This window comes from Homo sapiens, chromosome 16 (genome assembly GCF_000001405.40).
Source record: "Homo sapiens chromosome 16, GRCh38.p14 Primary Assembly".
NCBI lineage: Eukaryota > Metazoa > Chordata > Mammalia > Primates > Hominidae > Homo > Homo sapiens.
The window spans coordinates 83,161,590-83,176,092 of record NC_000016.10 but is presented as its reverse complement, the minus strand read 5'-3'; the positions used below and the strand labels follow the sequence as shown (position 1 = coordinate 83,176,092).

The 14,503-nt window shown below is 40.6% G+C and overlaps 1 protein-coding gene across 9 annotated transcripts in view; it reads right to left on the bottom strand.

Annotated features, from left to right (window-relative positions):
- Positions 1-14,503, bottom strand: part of CDH13 (cadherin 13) — a 1,173,672-nt gene that overhangs the window by 624,548 nt on the left and 534,621 nt on the right. Inside the window, exon 5 of one of the 9 annotated variants that reach the window (NM_001220492.2) lies at positions 4,526-4,571. The exons of the other annotated variants lie outside the window; for them this stretch is intronic. Coding sequence (NP_001207421.1) covers positions 4,527-4,571 — 45 coding nt within the window. The 3' untranslated portion in view covers position 4,526. The remainder of the gene's footprint in view (positions 1-4,525; positions 4,572-14,503) is intronic. 9 annotated transcript variants of the gene reach the window in all.

The following is a 14,503-nucleotide window of genomic DNA, read 5'->3' as shown; positions in this document are numbered from 1 at the left end:
GGATGACCTGAGGTAGAGATTTCAAGACCAGCCTGACCTACATGGAGAAACCCCGTCTCTACTGAAAAAAAAACAAAAACAAAAACAAAAACAAAAATTAGCCAGGCATTGTGGCACATGCCTGTAATCCCAGCTACTTGGGAGGCTGAGGCAGGAGAATCGCTTGAACCTGGGAAGCGGAGGTTGCGGTGAGCCGAGATCGCGCCATTACACTCTAGCCTGGGCAATAAGAGTGAAACTCCGTCTCAAAAAAAAAAAAAAAAAAAAAAAAGCAGGTTGAAAAAACAGTATGTATATTATGATCTTATTTTTGTGAGCATATTATACACATTTACATAAAGGAAGGTATAGAGATCTATAAAGAATTTAATGTGTTGGTGACTCATCTGGCTGCCAGAGTAAGAATGACGGTGTTTGTTTGTTTGTTTTAACTTATCTGCATTTTCGTATCCTTCCTCAGTGAACAAGTGTGCTGGTCAAGGCTATTCTCAAAACTAAGGACTGACAACACAGGGGTTTGTTCAGTCCCTCTGTGGTCACCCAAAGCAAACTGGAGGCTCTGATTCAGTCAGTGGTGCCCCCATCCCCATACAGTTTCTCCTGGATGCTCTGATCTTTCCAAACAATCCCTTCCTCTTCCCCAGTCTCCACACTGGCTCATTAGAAAAAGAAACAGAGCCGAATTAATAGTGTCTGCATGGTTCTGTCTTCACCAGTGGGCTATCGTGGGGGTTGAGAACTTGTCATCTTTTAATCAATATATTAATAAACTATTGATAACTTCATATAAAATAATCTAAAATGGACTCCCTGTTTCAGAAACATTTTTCCTTATTTCTTCTGTCCCAAACCAAATAGAATGGTATCCATGCCAATATCTTATGTGTTATCCTGTGGCATGTTTGAGAATAAAGCATCTAGAATAGGGCTGTCCAAGAGAGCTTTCTATGATGATGGAAACGTTTCATATCTACACTGTGCAGTATGTATGTACTGCATATAATAGCCACCAGCGATACGTAGCTGATGATTTGAAATGTGGCTAGCATGGTGATATGGTTTGGCTCTGTGTCCCCACCCAAATCTCACCTCAAATTTTAATCCCCATGTGTCAGGGGAGGGACCTGGTTGGAGAGGACTGGATCATGGGGGCAGTTCCCCCAAGCTGTTCTCATGATAGTGAGTGAGTTCACACAACATCTGATGGTTTAAAAGTGTTTGGCAGTTCTCCTTGGCTCTTTTTCTCTCTCTCTCCTGCTTTACTGTGATAAGATGTGCCTTGTTTCTCCTTCACATTCTGCCATGATTGTTAAGTTTCCTAAGGCCTCCCCAACCATGTAGAAATGTGAGTCAAGGAAACCTTTTTTCTTTATATATTACCTAATCTCAGGTATGTCTTTATAGAAGTGTGAAAACAGACTAATACATATGGCTCGTAAACTAAAGTTTTAACTTTATTTTAATTAGCTTAAGGGTAAATTTAAGTAACCACAGGTGGCTAGTGGCTACCTAACTGGACAGTGCAGGTTTGGAACCTGAATTGAGCTTCTACATACAAGCATAAAGGGTCCTCTTTATGGTCATGAAGTGTAAACTTTATTCTGGCTCAGAAATATTCTGAATTATGAGTGGTCATTTGCTTCGGTCTTGCTGCAATCCATAAAGCTCTAAGTAATTCTGAAACATTGGTCAAGATAACTTGAATATATTGGAAAGACAAATTAATCTCTTAAAAAGAAAAAAAAGATAGTGCCAAGTAAGAAGATGGGATGTATGAACATCATTGAGTGGTGTTATTATATGCAGCATTAATTGGAAGGGATGGATTGTAAAGTGAGATTGATGATAGAATTCAGGGTTCAAGATATGTTCAATTGATTTGACAGACCCCGAACTGACCTCATCCTTTTCAGTACACATTGCTTCCTAAGCTTGATAAGCCCTCAACTCCCCTGAAATGGAAATGTTGCAGAGGGATACCACAGGACAGACTTCATACTGACCAGCCTCAAGGCATCAGATTTGGGTTTTATCTGCATCTGTTCCCCATAAGTCCCTCTCCTTTCCCTCGAGTGATAACTGGAGGAGGATTGTTATTGTCTGGTCATATCTCTACATGCTGGTGTGATACTGGCTTTGAAATAACCAGGGATATGCCTGTTCTGTTCCCTGGGTCTGGGATGGCATGTTCTAAGTCATAAGAGACAGGAAGCAGAGTTTGATAGGAACCCCAGGGTGGCAGAATGAAGGACAGCAAGATGGATGCTAGGAAGGTAACAGGGCAGGTAAAAAGGGTACAACCTCAGTTTGGGCAGGTTTATGTTTGTTTCCTAAAGAAAGAGGCCCAGAAGATTGGGAGAGGCAGGGATCTTTGGCTGTGTTCTCTATAGTTTTCGAAGCATCTTTCATATAGTTTGCCAAATTTTGCAAATAAAAATACAGAACGCCCTAGTAAAATTAGAATTTCAGATAAACAAACACAAATTCTTTAGTATTAATATGTCCAGTGCAATAGTTGGGATGTGCTTATTCTAAAACACTAGTCATTGTTTATCTGAAATTTCATAATGGGGTCTTGTATTTTGTCTGGCAAGTCTATTCAAGAAACACCAGTCCCAAGAGATCTTGCCTTAATAAAAAGAGACCCACGGTTAACTATGTGCTAGAAATGCTGCTTACTTTACCACACTCTCAGAGATTCCCTAAGATAATAGCATATTTAAAAGCTCTGACAAGTTCCATAGCAAATATTCCAATTCTCTTTAACAAATACCTTCTAAACTTTTGAGAACATAGAACCCAGCAATAAAGTAGTTTAAATGTCACCCCCAGGGTCAGACTGCCTGAGTTCAAACGCTGGATTCACAACCAGCAGAGTGTATGACCAGGAACAAGTTATAACTAGAGATTCTGGCTGGACATATGTAAGTGGCATAGTCATGGCACCAGTCTCACAGAATTAATGTGAGAATTACATGAATCCATATAAGCCTGGCACAGGGTAACTGCTTTGTGAATATTAGTTTAAATAGTCACATTAGTGCCAAGTACCTTTCCCAGCAAGGGCTAGTAACATCCAAGCAAAACAACGCATGCAATTTCGGACACGTTAACGGTAGACTAAGGTGGGGTGGGGAGAGTGTTGGCTTGGTTCAGCATCAAATAAATCCCTTTGACTTCAGTTCATTATACTTGATGAAATGAGAATTTTTAGTGCAGTAGAAGGTTCAGTAGATCAAATCCTCTGATGAAACGATCCACATTCAGAAGGAAGCTATTTAGCCTTCTTTGTTTTCTTTTTTTATTGTTTGTTTTTTGTTTTTATCTACTATGTTGTTTGTTAGGGCTGTTATGACAAAGTACTGTAGATTGGGTGGCTTAAGCAACAGAAATTGATTGTCTCACAGTGATGGAGGCTGAAAATCTGAGATCAAGGTGCTTCTGAGGTCTGTGAGGAGGAATCTGTTCCAAGCCTGTCTCCTAGCTTCTCATGGATTTTTCTTGTTGTTTGTTTGTTTTGCATTTTTTGGCATTTTTGGGCTTATAGATGTATCATCCTGATTTCTGCTGTTATTTTGTGTTTTTAGCTTTTTTTTTCTTTTTTGAGACAGAGTCTCTCTGTCACCTAGGCTGAAGTGCAATGGCGTGATCTCAGCTCACTGCAACCTCCGCCTCTGGGGTTCAAGCAATTCTTGCGTATCAGCCTCATGAGTAGCTGGAATTACAAGCATGCACCACTACGCCTGGCTAAATTTTTCATATTTTTAGTAGAGACGGGGTTTCACTATAGCCCAGGCTGGTCTTGAATGCCTGACCTCAAGTGATCTGCCTGCCTCGGCCTCCCAAAGTGCTGGGATTACAGGCATGAGCCACCGTACCCGGCCATCTGCCTTTATTTTCATGTGGAGTTCTCTCTGAGTGTGAGTCTATCTCCAAATTTCTCTTTTTATAGGCATCAGTCATATTATACTAGGGTCTACTCAAATGACCTCAGTTTAACATGATTACCTCTGTAAAGATCCTATGTCCAAGTAAGGTCACACTCTGAATTACTGGGGATTATGACTTCAACATACGAATTTTGGTAGAGCATGTTTCAACCATAGCAGCTACCCCTGAGAATGGGGCTAATGTCCACCAGCTATCTCACCATGCAGGATGACAATAAATCTTAAATAACAGAGTGCAGAGGGACAGATTTTGAGAAAGTTGATAGCATTATAAAATGGCAAGGTAAACATTAAATTTCTTATGTTGATCTGCACCGGTGGAGGTATTCATGCCTTTGCAAGAAAGATGTCAGGAAACTGTTAATCTTCCTACAATACTACCTGAAAACATACAGCTTGGGACTCCATGCCTCAGAAAGACGAAGAGGTTCTGGGGAAATGGGAGAGGCGTGCCTGCCAAAGAGCATGCTATTTGCAGTGTCACTAAATCCCCTGATGGCATATAGGAAATTGGAGACACAAACAAGGAAATGAAGATAGAGACACAGATATTTCAAAATTTCCTGTGCACTTATCTCATGTCAGCCATCGTGCTAGGCACAGAACTTGCCAAATCTTCATCTGAAAAACAAAGATTATTTATGGGCAGTCTATTTTCATAGAATGAGTAACCTAATTAGAAAAGCTTTTGATATGGTTTGGATCTGTGTCCTCACCCAAATCTCATGTTCAACTGTAATCCCCCATGTTGGAGGTGGGGCCTGGTGGCAGGTGACTGGATCATGGGGGTGCATCCTCCATGAATGGTTTAGGACCATCCCTTTGGTGCTGTTCTCATGATAGAGTTCTCACAAGATCTGGTCCTTTAAAAGTGTGTAGTACTTCCCCACCCCATTCTCTTGCCCTGTTTCCGCCATGCCCCTTTTCTGCCATGTTCTGCCAGGAAGAAGTGCCTGCTTCCCCTTTGCCTTCCACCATGACTATAAGTTTCCTAAGGCCTCCCCAGAGGCAGAAGCCACCATGCTTCCTGCACAGCCTGCAGAACCACGAGCGAATTAAACCTCTTCTCTTTATAAATTACCCAGTCTCAGGTATTTCTTTATAGCCATGTGAGAATGGCCTAATACAGCTTCCCTCAAAAAAAAGGAGGCGGGCGGGTAAAAAGACTGATGGGGAGGTTGAGTAGAGGAGAAGAGGATAGCGACGATGGAAGAGGGCCAAGGCAAAACTTTGTCAATTTTGTCATTTTCATTGATGCTGGATCTCTTCTCTCTATTTTTGGAAAACTAGTTAGAAGGGTCACTCATGTTGAAAAGTTTGGTCAAATCAGGAAACATGCACATGCCTACATCTCCCATACCTCTCATCCACACTGTTACCAGATAATGTTACGACTCTTGGACTTTCCATTTTACTCCATCAATAAGCATTTAACATTTAGATATATTATAGGGATGGGTGCTTAGAAATACTTTTTGTAAGGAAATCTGTTCAGGATCTTCCAAAGCAAAATCTCTTGTTCCTCACTAAAATATCTTTGAAGAATTGTGTTCAAACTTCCAACAATTTTAAGTACTAAGACTGACAGATAGCTGTCCGGAAAATCTCAAAGGCTGATAGAGTGGAATTGGGGGAAATTGTATTGGTGAGTTTCTCACGCTTTGCCTCATGAAACATAGTATCTTTGACTGGAAAACTGGAAGCTTCTCCTATGTTGTCATCTTCCAGTTTGGGAACCCTGTGTCTCCATCAGTCAAGCAAACACTCCTAAACACCCTGATCTCTCACCACCCCTGACCTTGTACATCCAGAGTGTGACAGTAGCTTTGAGAAAACAAGTAGGGTGGGAGTCTGAGAAAATGATCACATTTTTTTTCTAGAGGAAAAATCAAAGCAAAAAATAATTAAGGCAGTTCTGAAACCTGTGTGTATTTTAGAAGGGTTTATTGTCATGTGTTAAGACACATTATAAAACTATGAGTGTTGGAACAGTATGGCATTTTTGCAAAATTTAATATATGAGATGGTCCCAAAGTAAATTGTTGTATGTATTAGAGCTTAACATCACATGAAAGCTATGTGACAAAACCAGAAAAAGAATGGGTATTTAAAATAAAATAAAATAACATTTGGAAGGAAAATTAATTTGAAGGGTAAAAACTTGAAATGGGACTTCACATTAAACCATACATCGAAAGTAAGATCTAGAGGGACTGAAGAATCAGATGTGAATATGAAGCCATAAAAACTTAGAAAAATATATGTATTCATGTGACTTTGATTTTGGAACAGGCCAAGATTGTTAATTGTATAAACAAGAGAATACGCATAAGGAAAAAATGGTATTGTATCTGTCTAAAGATTTAAAAATTCAGTATTTCAAAACATCAAATCCAATTAATTCAAATAACTAGCTGGCATAAAAGAAAGGCAACAAACATATGACAGGCAAGAGATTAATATCCACAATAAGTAGTGGGCCTTTATGAATCAATAGGGAAGCCATTAACACCCAAATAGGAAAAGGAAAGAGGGCTTGAACAGGCAGCTGCTTCCCAAGACATGGAGAAACAAAAAAAAAACCTTACCACTGTTTTTTAAATGGCAAAAAAAAAGGCCACAGTACCTTATCATTTTCATCAATCAAAGTGGCCCATTTAAGAAAGCTTGGCCGGGTGTGGTGGCTCACACCTTACTCCCAGCACTTCGGGAAGCCGAGGCAGGCAGATTATGAGGTCAAGACATCAAGACAATCCTGGCCAATATGGTGAAATCCTGTCTCTACTAAAAATACAAAAAATAGCTGGGTGTGGTGGCAGGCGCCTGTAGTCCCAGCTACTCAGGAGGGTGAGACAGGAGAATCGCTTGAACCCAGGAGGTGGAGGTTGCAGTGAGCCAAGATCCCGCCACTGCACTCCAGCCTGGCGACAAAGTGAGATGCCGTCTCAAAAAAAAAAGGAAACCTAAGCACTGAATGCCGGCAAGCATAAGGTAAGCAGGGACTGTCATATGCCATAGATGTCATATACCATAGTGTTATTTCTTTGCAAAAAAGTTTGATAATTATGTTTTAATTGTCAAAGGAATTTAGTTATTCAATACAAATTTCAACTTCCAAGCACTGAGGCTAAGAAAATAGATAACTGTGGACCCACGTCTGTGTACCTGAATGGTCCTCACAGAATTGTTTAAAGTAATTAATGACTGGTGGGAAACAGAATAACCAAAACTAGGGAAAAGTTTCAATAAATTGAGAGTCCATGAGATGTTTTCTTATGTGGACATTAAATATCATGGTTTGGAAGAACTTTATGAAGAGAACATTCCCAGAAAATAAAGTGTGATTTTAAAAAGCAGAATACAATTTGAACATATAGTTTAATCTTACATATGAATATATATGAATGAGTATAGATATAGATGTGAATATGTATTTAATTATACTCATATGGATAGAAAAAAATAGAAGTAAAAGCACCAATATGTTATCAGAAGCTATCTCTGAGTGGGGAAATTACAAGTTCGTTTTTTTTAAAATTTATTTTACTAACAATACTGAACATTACTTTTATAATCAGAATAAGTTAATTTGAAAATGGAATACTGGAGTCGGCATTTTGGAGAAGTTAGGTAAAGTTGACTCTGTCATTCTGTATCTATTCATGAAATAGCTACTATTAGCATTTGGGCTAAGGAAGGGCAGAGGCATTTGGCAAACTGCTTCTGCTGGAAAGAAGGCTACAGTCGTAAATATATGTGTGTGTATATATATACACATACATACATGTATGCGTGTTTGAGTGTGTGTGTAAATATCTATATTATATAATGGATGGCACCGTCCATTGGATGGTACTTAACACCTAGCTAAGCTCTTTGGGGTTTTTTTGTTCATTTATTTTAAAAATAAGCACCACATTTATTTATTTATTTTATAATTTCAACTTTCGTTTTAGATTCAGCGGGTACAAGTGCAGGTTTGTTACCTAGGTATATTGTGTGGCGCTGAGGTTTGAGTATCATTGGTCCTGTCACCTAGCTAGCACAGCATCTAGTAGTTTTTCAACCCTCATACCCCTCTTTCCCTCCCCACTCTAGTAGTCCCCACTGTCTATTGTTGCCATCTTTATGTCCGTGAGTATTCACTGTTTAGGTCCCACTTATAAGTGAGAACATGTGGTATTTGGTTTTCTGTTCCTGCATTAATTCGCTTAGGATAATAGCCCCTGGCTGCATCCATGTTGCTGCAAAGCTTGTGATTTTATTTTTTTATGGCTGCATGGTATTCCATGATACATATGTACCACGTTTTTTTTCAATCCAGTCCACCACTGCTGGGCACCTAGGTTGATTCTATGCCTTTGCTATTATGTCTATCCAGTTGAACTATTTGAAAATGGAAACCAGAAGGAGGGAGAATAATTTTAAAAATAGGATAATTAAAAAAAAAAGCAATGAAATAATGAGATTTGGCTTAAATGGAATTGATACGAGAGCTTTGGGAAAAGAGAGAAAGGGTCTTGATAACGTGGAACATAGAAAGATTTAGCAAAACATCCACCTGCACACAGCTCAGTAATAAAGCCAACACGGGAGCCCAGGCTACTCCAACTTGTAATGCTTTTTTTTTTTTTTTTTTTTTTGGGAAAGGGTCTCACTCTGTCCCTCAGGCTGGAGTGCAATGGTGTGATCTCAGCTCACTGCAACTTCTGCCGCTTCCCAGGTTCAAGAGATTCTCCTGCCTCAGCCTAGTGAGTAACTGGGATTACAGGTATGCACCAGCATGCCCAGCTAATTTTTGTATTTTTAGTAGAGACGGGATTTCACCATGTTGGCCAGGCTGGTCTCAAACTCCTGACCTCAAGTGATCCACCTGCCTCAGCCTCCCAAAGTTCTGGGATTACAGGCGTGAGCCACTGTGCCCGGCCTTTTTTTTTTTTTTAATACTACATTTCACTTACAGACAAGAATCTAAGACTCAAAGTCTACAAAGTAAATAGCAGGGAAGTACCACTGCAAATACGTTTGCCAATATTCATAAACCTTCGTGGAATTATTAAAACACCAGGAGAAATCTGCCGTGTTTTCTTATATAGTATGTTTATTTTCATGTAACTTGCAACTTCTCAAAAAGTAAAAATGCAGCAAATAGAGGCATTTTCACATATAAAATCCAACTGCTTCTCTCCTAGAATCTTAGGCAGCTAATTGTGAGGTGCAACAGGCAACTGCTGTAATTTTTTGAAACATTTGGGAGATTTGCAACACTGCAAAAATGTCTCCGTGAATGGCGGTAATACACTTGTCCTTGCTTCATAATAATGCTAAGAACACCTCATTCTGTAAAAGCTACTTGATGCCCAACGGGCATTTTTTGAAAAATCTGAATTAGAAAATAGTATTTTATCAACACAAAGTTAAAAGTGAACTTCAAAAGACACAAAGTTAGTGTAAACATGAGATGCTCTATCATAACCATGCCTGAATATATTAAATATGGAAATGGGGCAGGTAAGAGCACAATCTATATTCCCTCTGAACTGCTGTCCCAACCACATAAATTAATCAAATGGCATGTCAATGGAAGCTGGCTCAGAAAGTCTGTGTTCCTCACATTTTCTTGAAGTTCATATGTTTCTGAGACGATAAAAATCTGATCTTGGAAGGAAAGGAGGGAGGAATCAAGAGGTTAATTGTCCGCAACCTTGGATGGCTTTGGAGATGTGCTGAGTTTTGCCCCTCTCTCATCTTAGCCCAATTACTCTTCCTGTCTGGGCCGAGAGGTCCTCAAAGCCCATTTCTGCTTAAGCCCCTTCCTCCCCGCTGCTCTGTCCTGCTTAAACACCATGTTAGAGATTTACATAAAATAGTCAGGTCTGGTATTTCATACCTCAATTGTACCAGAGCAGCACTTGGTTATTCACTTACAGTATCAAGAATTGACTCCCTTAATGACAGGGATCAGCTATTGCAAATTGATTTGCTGGATACCCTTTCTTGCCCAAACTACTGTTTAAAACCTGGCCACCAACTGCAAATTGTCAGCATCACTGCCTGCTGCTAATGGCAAAATGCTTTCTGACTGAGGAAGGTTCTATCTTTCCACAAACAATGCACATCTCCACTTTCATTTTTTCTACTTTTAAAGAATGGTCATTAGAGCTAACTACTCTTTTGCCTTGAATTTCCTGAGGCCCTCCAGCCTCTCCCACCACTGTTGATTCCAGGCTACTCTTCTCTCTCCTGGGTCCTACAGAGCGATTGTGCTGAAGCCTTTCAGTTGTTCTTCTCTTTCCACCATTCCTCCAAGAAAAGGAGAGGTAAGGTGACCTAGAGTCTCCATTTGCTAGTTCTGCCTTCTCTCCTGAATTCTAGGTCTCTAATTTCTATTTTGAGGTCAAACCGGCACCCATGTGTATTTTTAAGCCATCTTGGAAACTAGCTCTACCTCCATCTTTTTAACTTACACATATGTCACTGTTATTTGCTTCTTATCCTTCCTCCCCTTCTCTGCTGAGGTCATCAATTCCAGGTCTCATCATCCCTACCCTGTACCCACTGTCCACTCTTCTCATTTGTGACCACTACATCTTCCACAACCAACCACCTTCCTCAGCACAGAACTTAGCACCCTCCTCTGCAGCCTGCTAGTCCCCTCCCTCAAATGCTGAGTGCCTTTCAGTAGATGTTAATAGGTTTTGCATAATAAAAAGGGTGCTGTGGTCAAAAGCAAATTAGAAAGGAAGAGTTAAGCACACAACCAGCCTCTTGCTACAACAAATCTTAGAATATCCATCATCTATCATCTACTGTGCATTTTGAATCTTCAAGACAGGCAGGGGTGGGCATTGTTTTTGCCAACAGAATCCTTTTTGTATTGTGGAACATCTTGGCAGATCAGTTGTAGGGGTATACTCTACTGAGATGTCCCCACTTGACGTTTGGAGGGACTTACTGGACTTGGCCTTTTTCCCTTGATCCTCTAGTTCTCCTTCTTAGGGATTCCTAAATTCTTACAGGACAACCCCTTAGCCTACATTTTACTTTTTTTTTTTTTTTCTCCTGCTTCTACTCATCTCCCACACACTTTCTGTGATCAGAGCGTGGGCTGGGCTCTGGGCAGAGAGTGTGCTGGCCAACTGCAAGGTTTTGGAGCCAGGCTGCCTGGATTGTCTCCAGTTCTGCCATGGTTTTACCTGGGCACCCTGTGGCAAACAATGAAACTCTCCAAGCATTAGTGTTTTTATCTGTAAGATAATAATGTCCACTTTGTGAGGGCGTGACACTAGCCAGCATGCATATATATATATACACACTGTTAGTATTTAATAAATAGCATTGGTTATTGGTAGTCTCTATTACTGGCAGAAGCTGTTATTGTAAATATCATCAGTAAAACGATGATTTTTTTTTTCTTTTTTTGAGACAGAGTCTCGCTCTTGTCACCCAGCCTAGAGTGCAATGGCACAATCTCGGCTCACTGCAACCTCCGCCTCCCAAGTTCAAGCGATTCTCTTGCCTCAGCCTCCTGAGTAGCTGGGATTGCAGGCGCCCCCACCATGCCTGGCTAATTTCTGTATTTTTAGTAGAGATGGGGTTTCACCATGTTGGCCAGGCTGGTTTTGAACCCCTGACCTCAGGAGATCTGTGGGGCCCCTAGACATTTCTGAAACAGACTTGAAGGAATCAAAATCACCTGCTTAGACACTCTAGTTTTTCAATAAATGATGCTTCCTTCAAGAGTCAGAGGGACGTGGATTGTGACCTAACTCCACCATGTGTGGTGTGTGGTGTGTGGTATGTGATGTGTGGTGTGTGATGTGTGGTATGTAGTGTGTGGTGTGTGATGTGTGGCCTCAGACCAGACATTGAATCTGTCCAACCTTCAGTGTTCACAATGGAAAATTAAGTTAATCATGCCTACTTCTACAGGTTGACAGAGGATTACCTATGATAAGCATGTAAAGAACTAACCACTGAAGCTGGCACTAAGCAACCTACGCTGTAGTGTTTGGATAAGCACACGGGCTTTGGAGTCAGGCTGCTGGGTTTTCATTTTTTTCCCGATCAGTTACCAGCTGGGTAAGACACAGATAACAACTATGTCTTTTTTATAGTGTTGGTGTGATTATTAAATTAGATAATGTTTGCAAAATGCTTAGTCTAATGTTCAGCACACGGTAAGGTTTTATGTTCATAATTAATACATTTTATTATTGCGATGATGATGATGATGTTGACAGCGACGAGGTTTTATTGGTTAGGATGGGTTAGGATATGGTACAGAAATTAAAAACTGAACAAAATAAAACAAAATCCCAGAGCCTTAACTCAACAAAGGTTTGTTTATCTCTTGCTCATGCTGTGAATTCAGAATGGTGGGTGGCGGCTTTATGCTATATGACAGCTCAAGAACCCACACTGAAGAAGCCTCCACTACTTTGCAGCTGGCACCATATCAAACACATCCATGGTACCAAGGAAAGAAAGAGAGTGGAGATGACACACTTTGGCTAGCACTAGTCATATGGTTCCATCTGACTGCAAAGGCAATAGAAAACAGAGTCGGAAATTTCTGTGTGCCCAGGAGGAACGGGGCTGGACATGGGTGAGTGCCAATGGCTCTACTATAATGCTGATGGCAAAGACAACAAAACAAGGTGATGAGCGTCTGGCCTGGAGCACTACAAGAGGAGGTTAGCGGGCGGTTCACAATTATAGCCATTGTTATTTTTATTTTATGTTACCTGGGGTGCAGGTTTTGACCACAAGATGGACATCCCAGTGGAAGAGATGGACTCTGAACCAATGCAGAGAACCTATGTAGGGAACAAAGAGGTTTCCCTACATAGGTGAGTGTATTAGTCCATTTTTTGCACTACTGATAAAGACATACTCGAGATTGGGCAATTTACAAAAATAAAGGTTTATTGGACTTACAGTTCCATGTGGCTGGGGAAGCCTCACAATCATGGTGGAAGGTGAATGGCATGTCTCACATGGTGGCAGATAAGAGAAGAGAACTTGTGCAGGGAAATTCTCATTTTTATATAACCATCAGATCTTGTGAGGCTTATTCACTATCACAAGAACAGCATGGGAAAGACCTGCCTCAATGATTCAATCACCTCCCACCAGGTTCCTCCTACGACACATGGGAATTGTGGGGGTTACAATTCAAGATGAGATTTACGTGGGGACACAGCCAAACCATATCAATGAGTGTGCTAGACTTGGGAGCAGCCCAAGCTAGCTCTACAAGTTGGGGATTTAGGCATCTCAACAGTCCCCAATCCAGCTATAACACCATTTCTCCAAGGGTGGCCTACAGACTGTCTCTGTTGAAATCACCTGGGGAGTTTGCCACAAATACAGATTTTGGACTAATCTCAGGCCTATTGAATCACAATCTGTGTGTATGTGTGTCAGAGGGTGGTGGTAGTGGTAGTGGTGTAGGGCCTTCTTTATGCATTTTGACAAGCTCATTCAGTAACTGTTTAGGCAACCTGAAATTTGAGGACCTCTTCAGTAGATACTTCCTGCCCTGATTCCCCTCTGACTGTCAGACTCAGGGTGCTCTTTCAACACCTTGCTTTGTTCAACCTTTAAAACTTGGTAGGGAAACTAAGGCTTAGCACTAGAGAAAGACAGATTGAATTTTCAGCTCTATCATTTACTTGCTACGTATTCTTGGGTAAACCACTCAACAACTCTGAACTTCAGTGTAAATATCTGTAAAATGTCTACAATAAAATGGTCTGGTATCTTGTTGGAAGGATTCAATGATATCACGTAAATAAAGCATGATGATGCTTTCATCATCATGAAAGCATCTTTGTCATCGTGACAATGATGACGACAAGATGCTAATGATGGTGATGATGAGGACAATGGTGATGAAAATTTTCTAGTCAGTGCCTGGTCCTCACATATGTAAAAGATGGAACACGTGAATGTTTCTTATTATCTGTAAAACAGATTCCAGTACTTGGTTATATGATGAGCTAAGGAAGCACCAGGCATGTAAATGCCACGTCTGAGAAGCAGTTCATGTTTAACCTATTTTCCTTTAATTCTTTATAAAATGGGCCTAACCCCCAAACAAAGGGACTAGCTGACTTTACTTACTTCTGAATTAGAACCAGGAAAGTAGTGAGAGAATTTGGCACTGATAGAAAAAGATGGATTCTTAAGCAAAGAAGAGAGTTACATGAATAATGATCATTTGTTCTCTGGATCGATGGCTACCTCATTTTGAGTTGCAGTGTCCCTGAATAACTACGGTGGGTTGTTTGACATAGCGTCTCAGGCTTCTGAAACTCTCATCTCGGGGAATCTTTTAGAGTTGTTGTTTGTTGTTGATTAATGTAATTAGTAGGGAAGAGGTATATCAGGAGAGTGACAGAGACGGATGGGTAAGACAAGAATGTGGATAAGAAAGAGAACCATGGTGGGTGATTCTTTAACTCTATAAATATGCAAATCCATGCACAGTCAAGGCGGGGGAGGGAAATGTTGGTGGTTTGTCAAGACAAATGCTGGTGGTTGTGGAT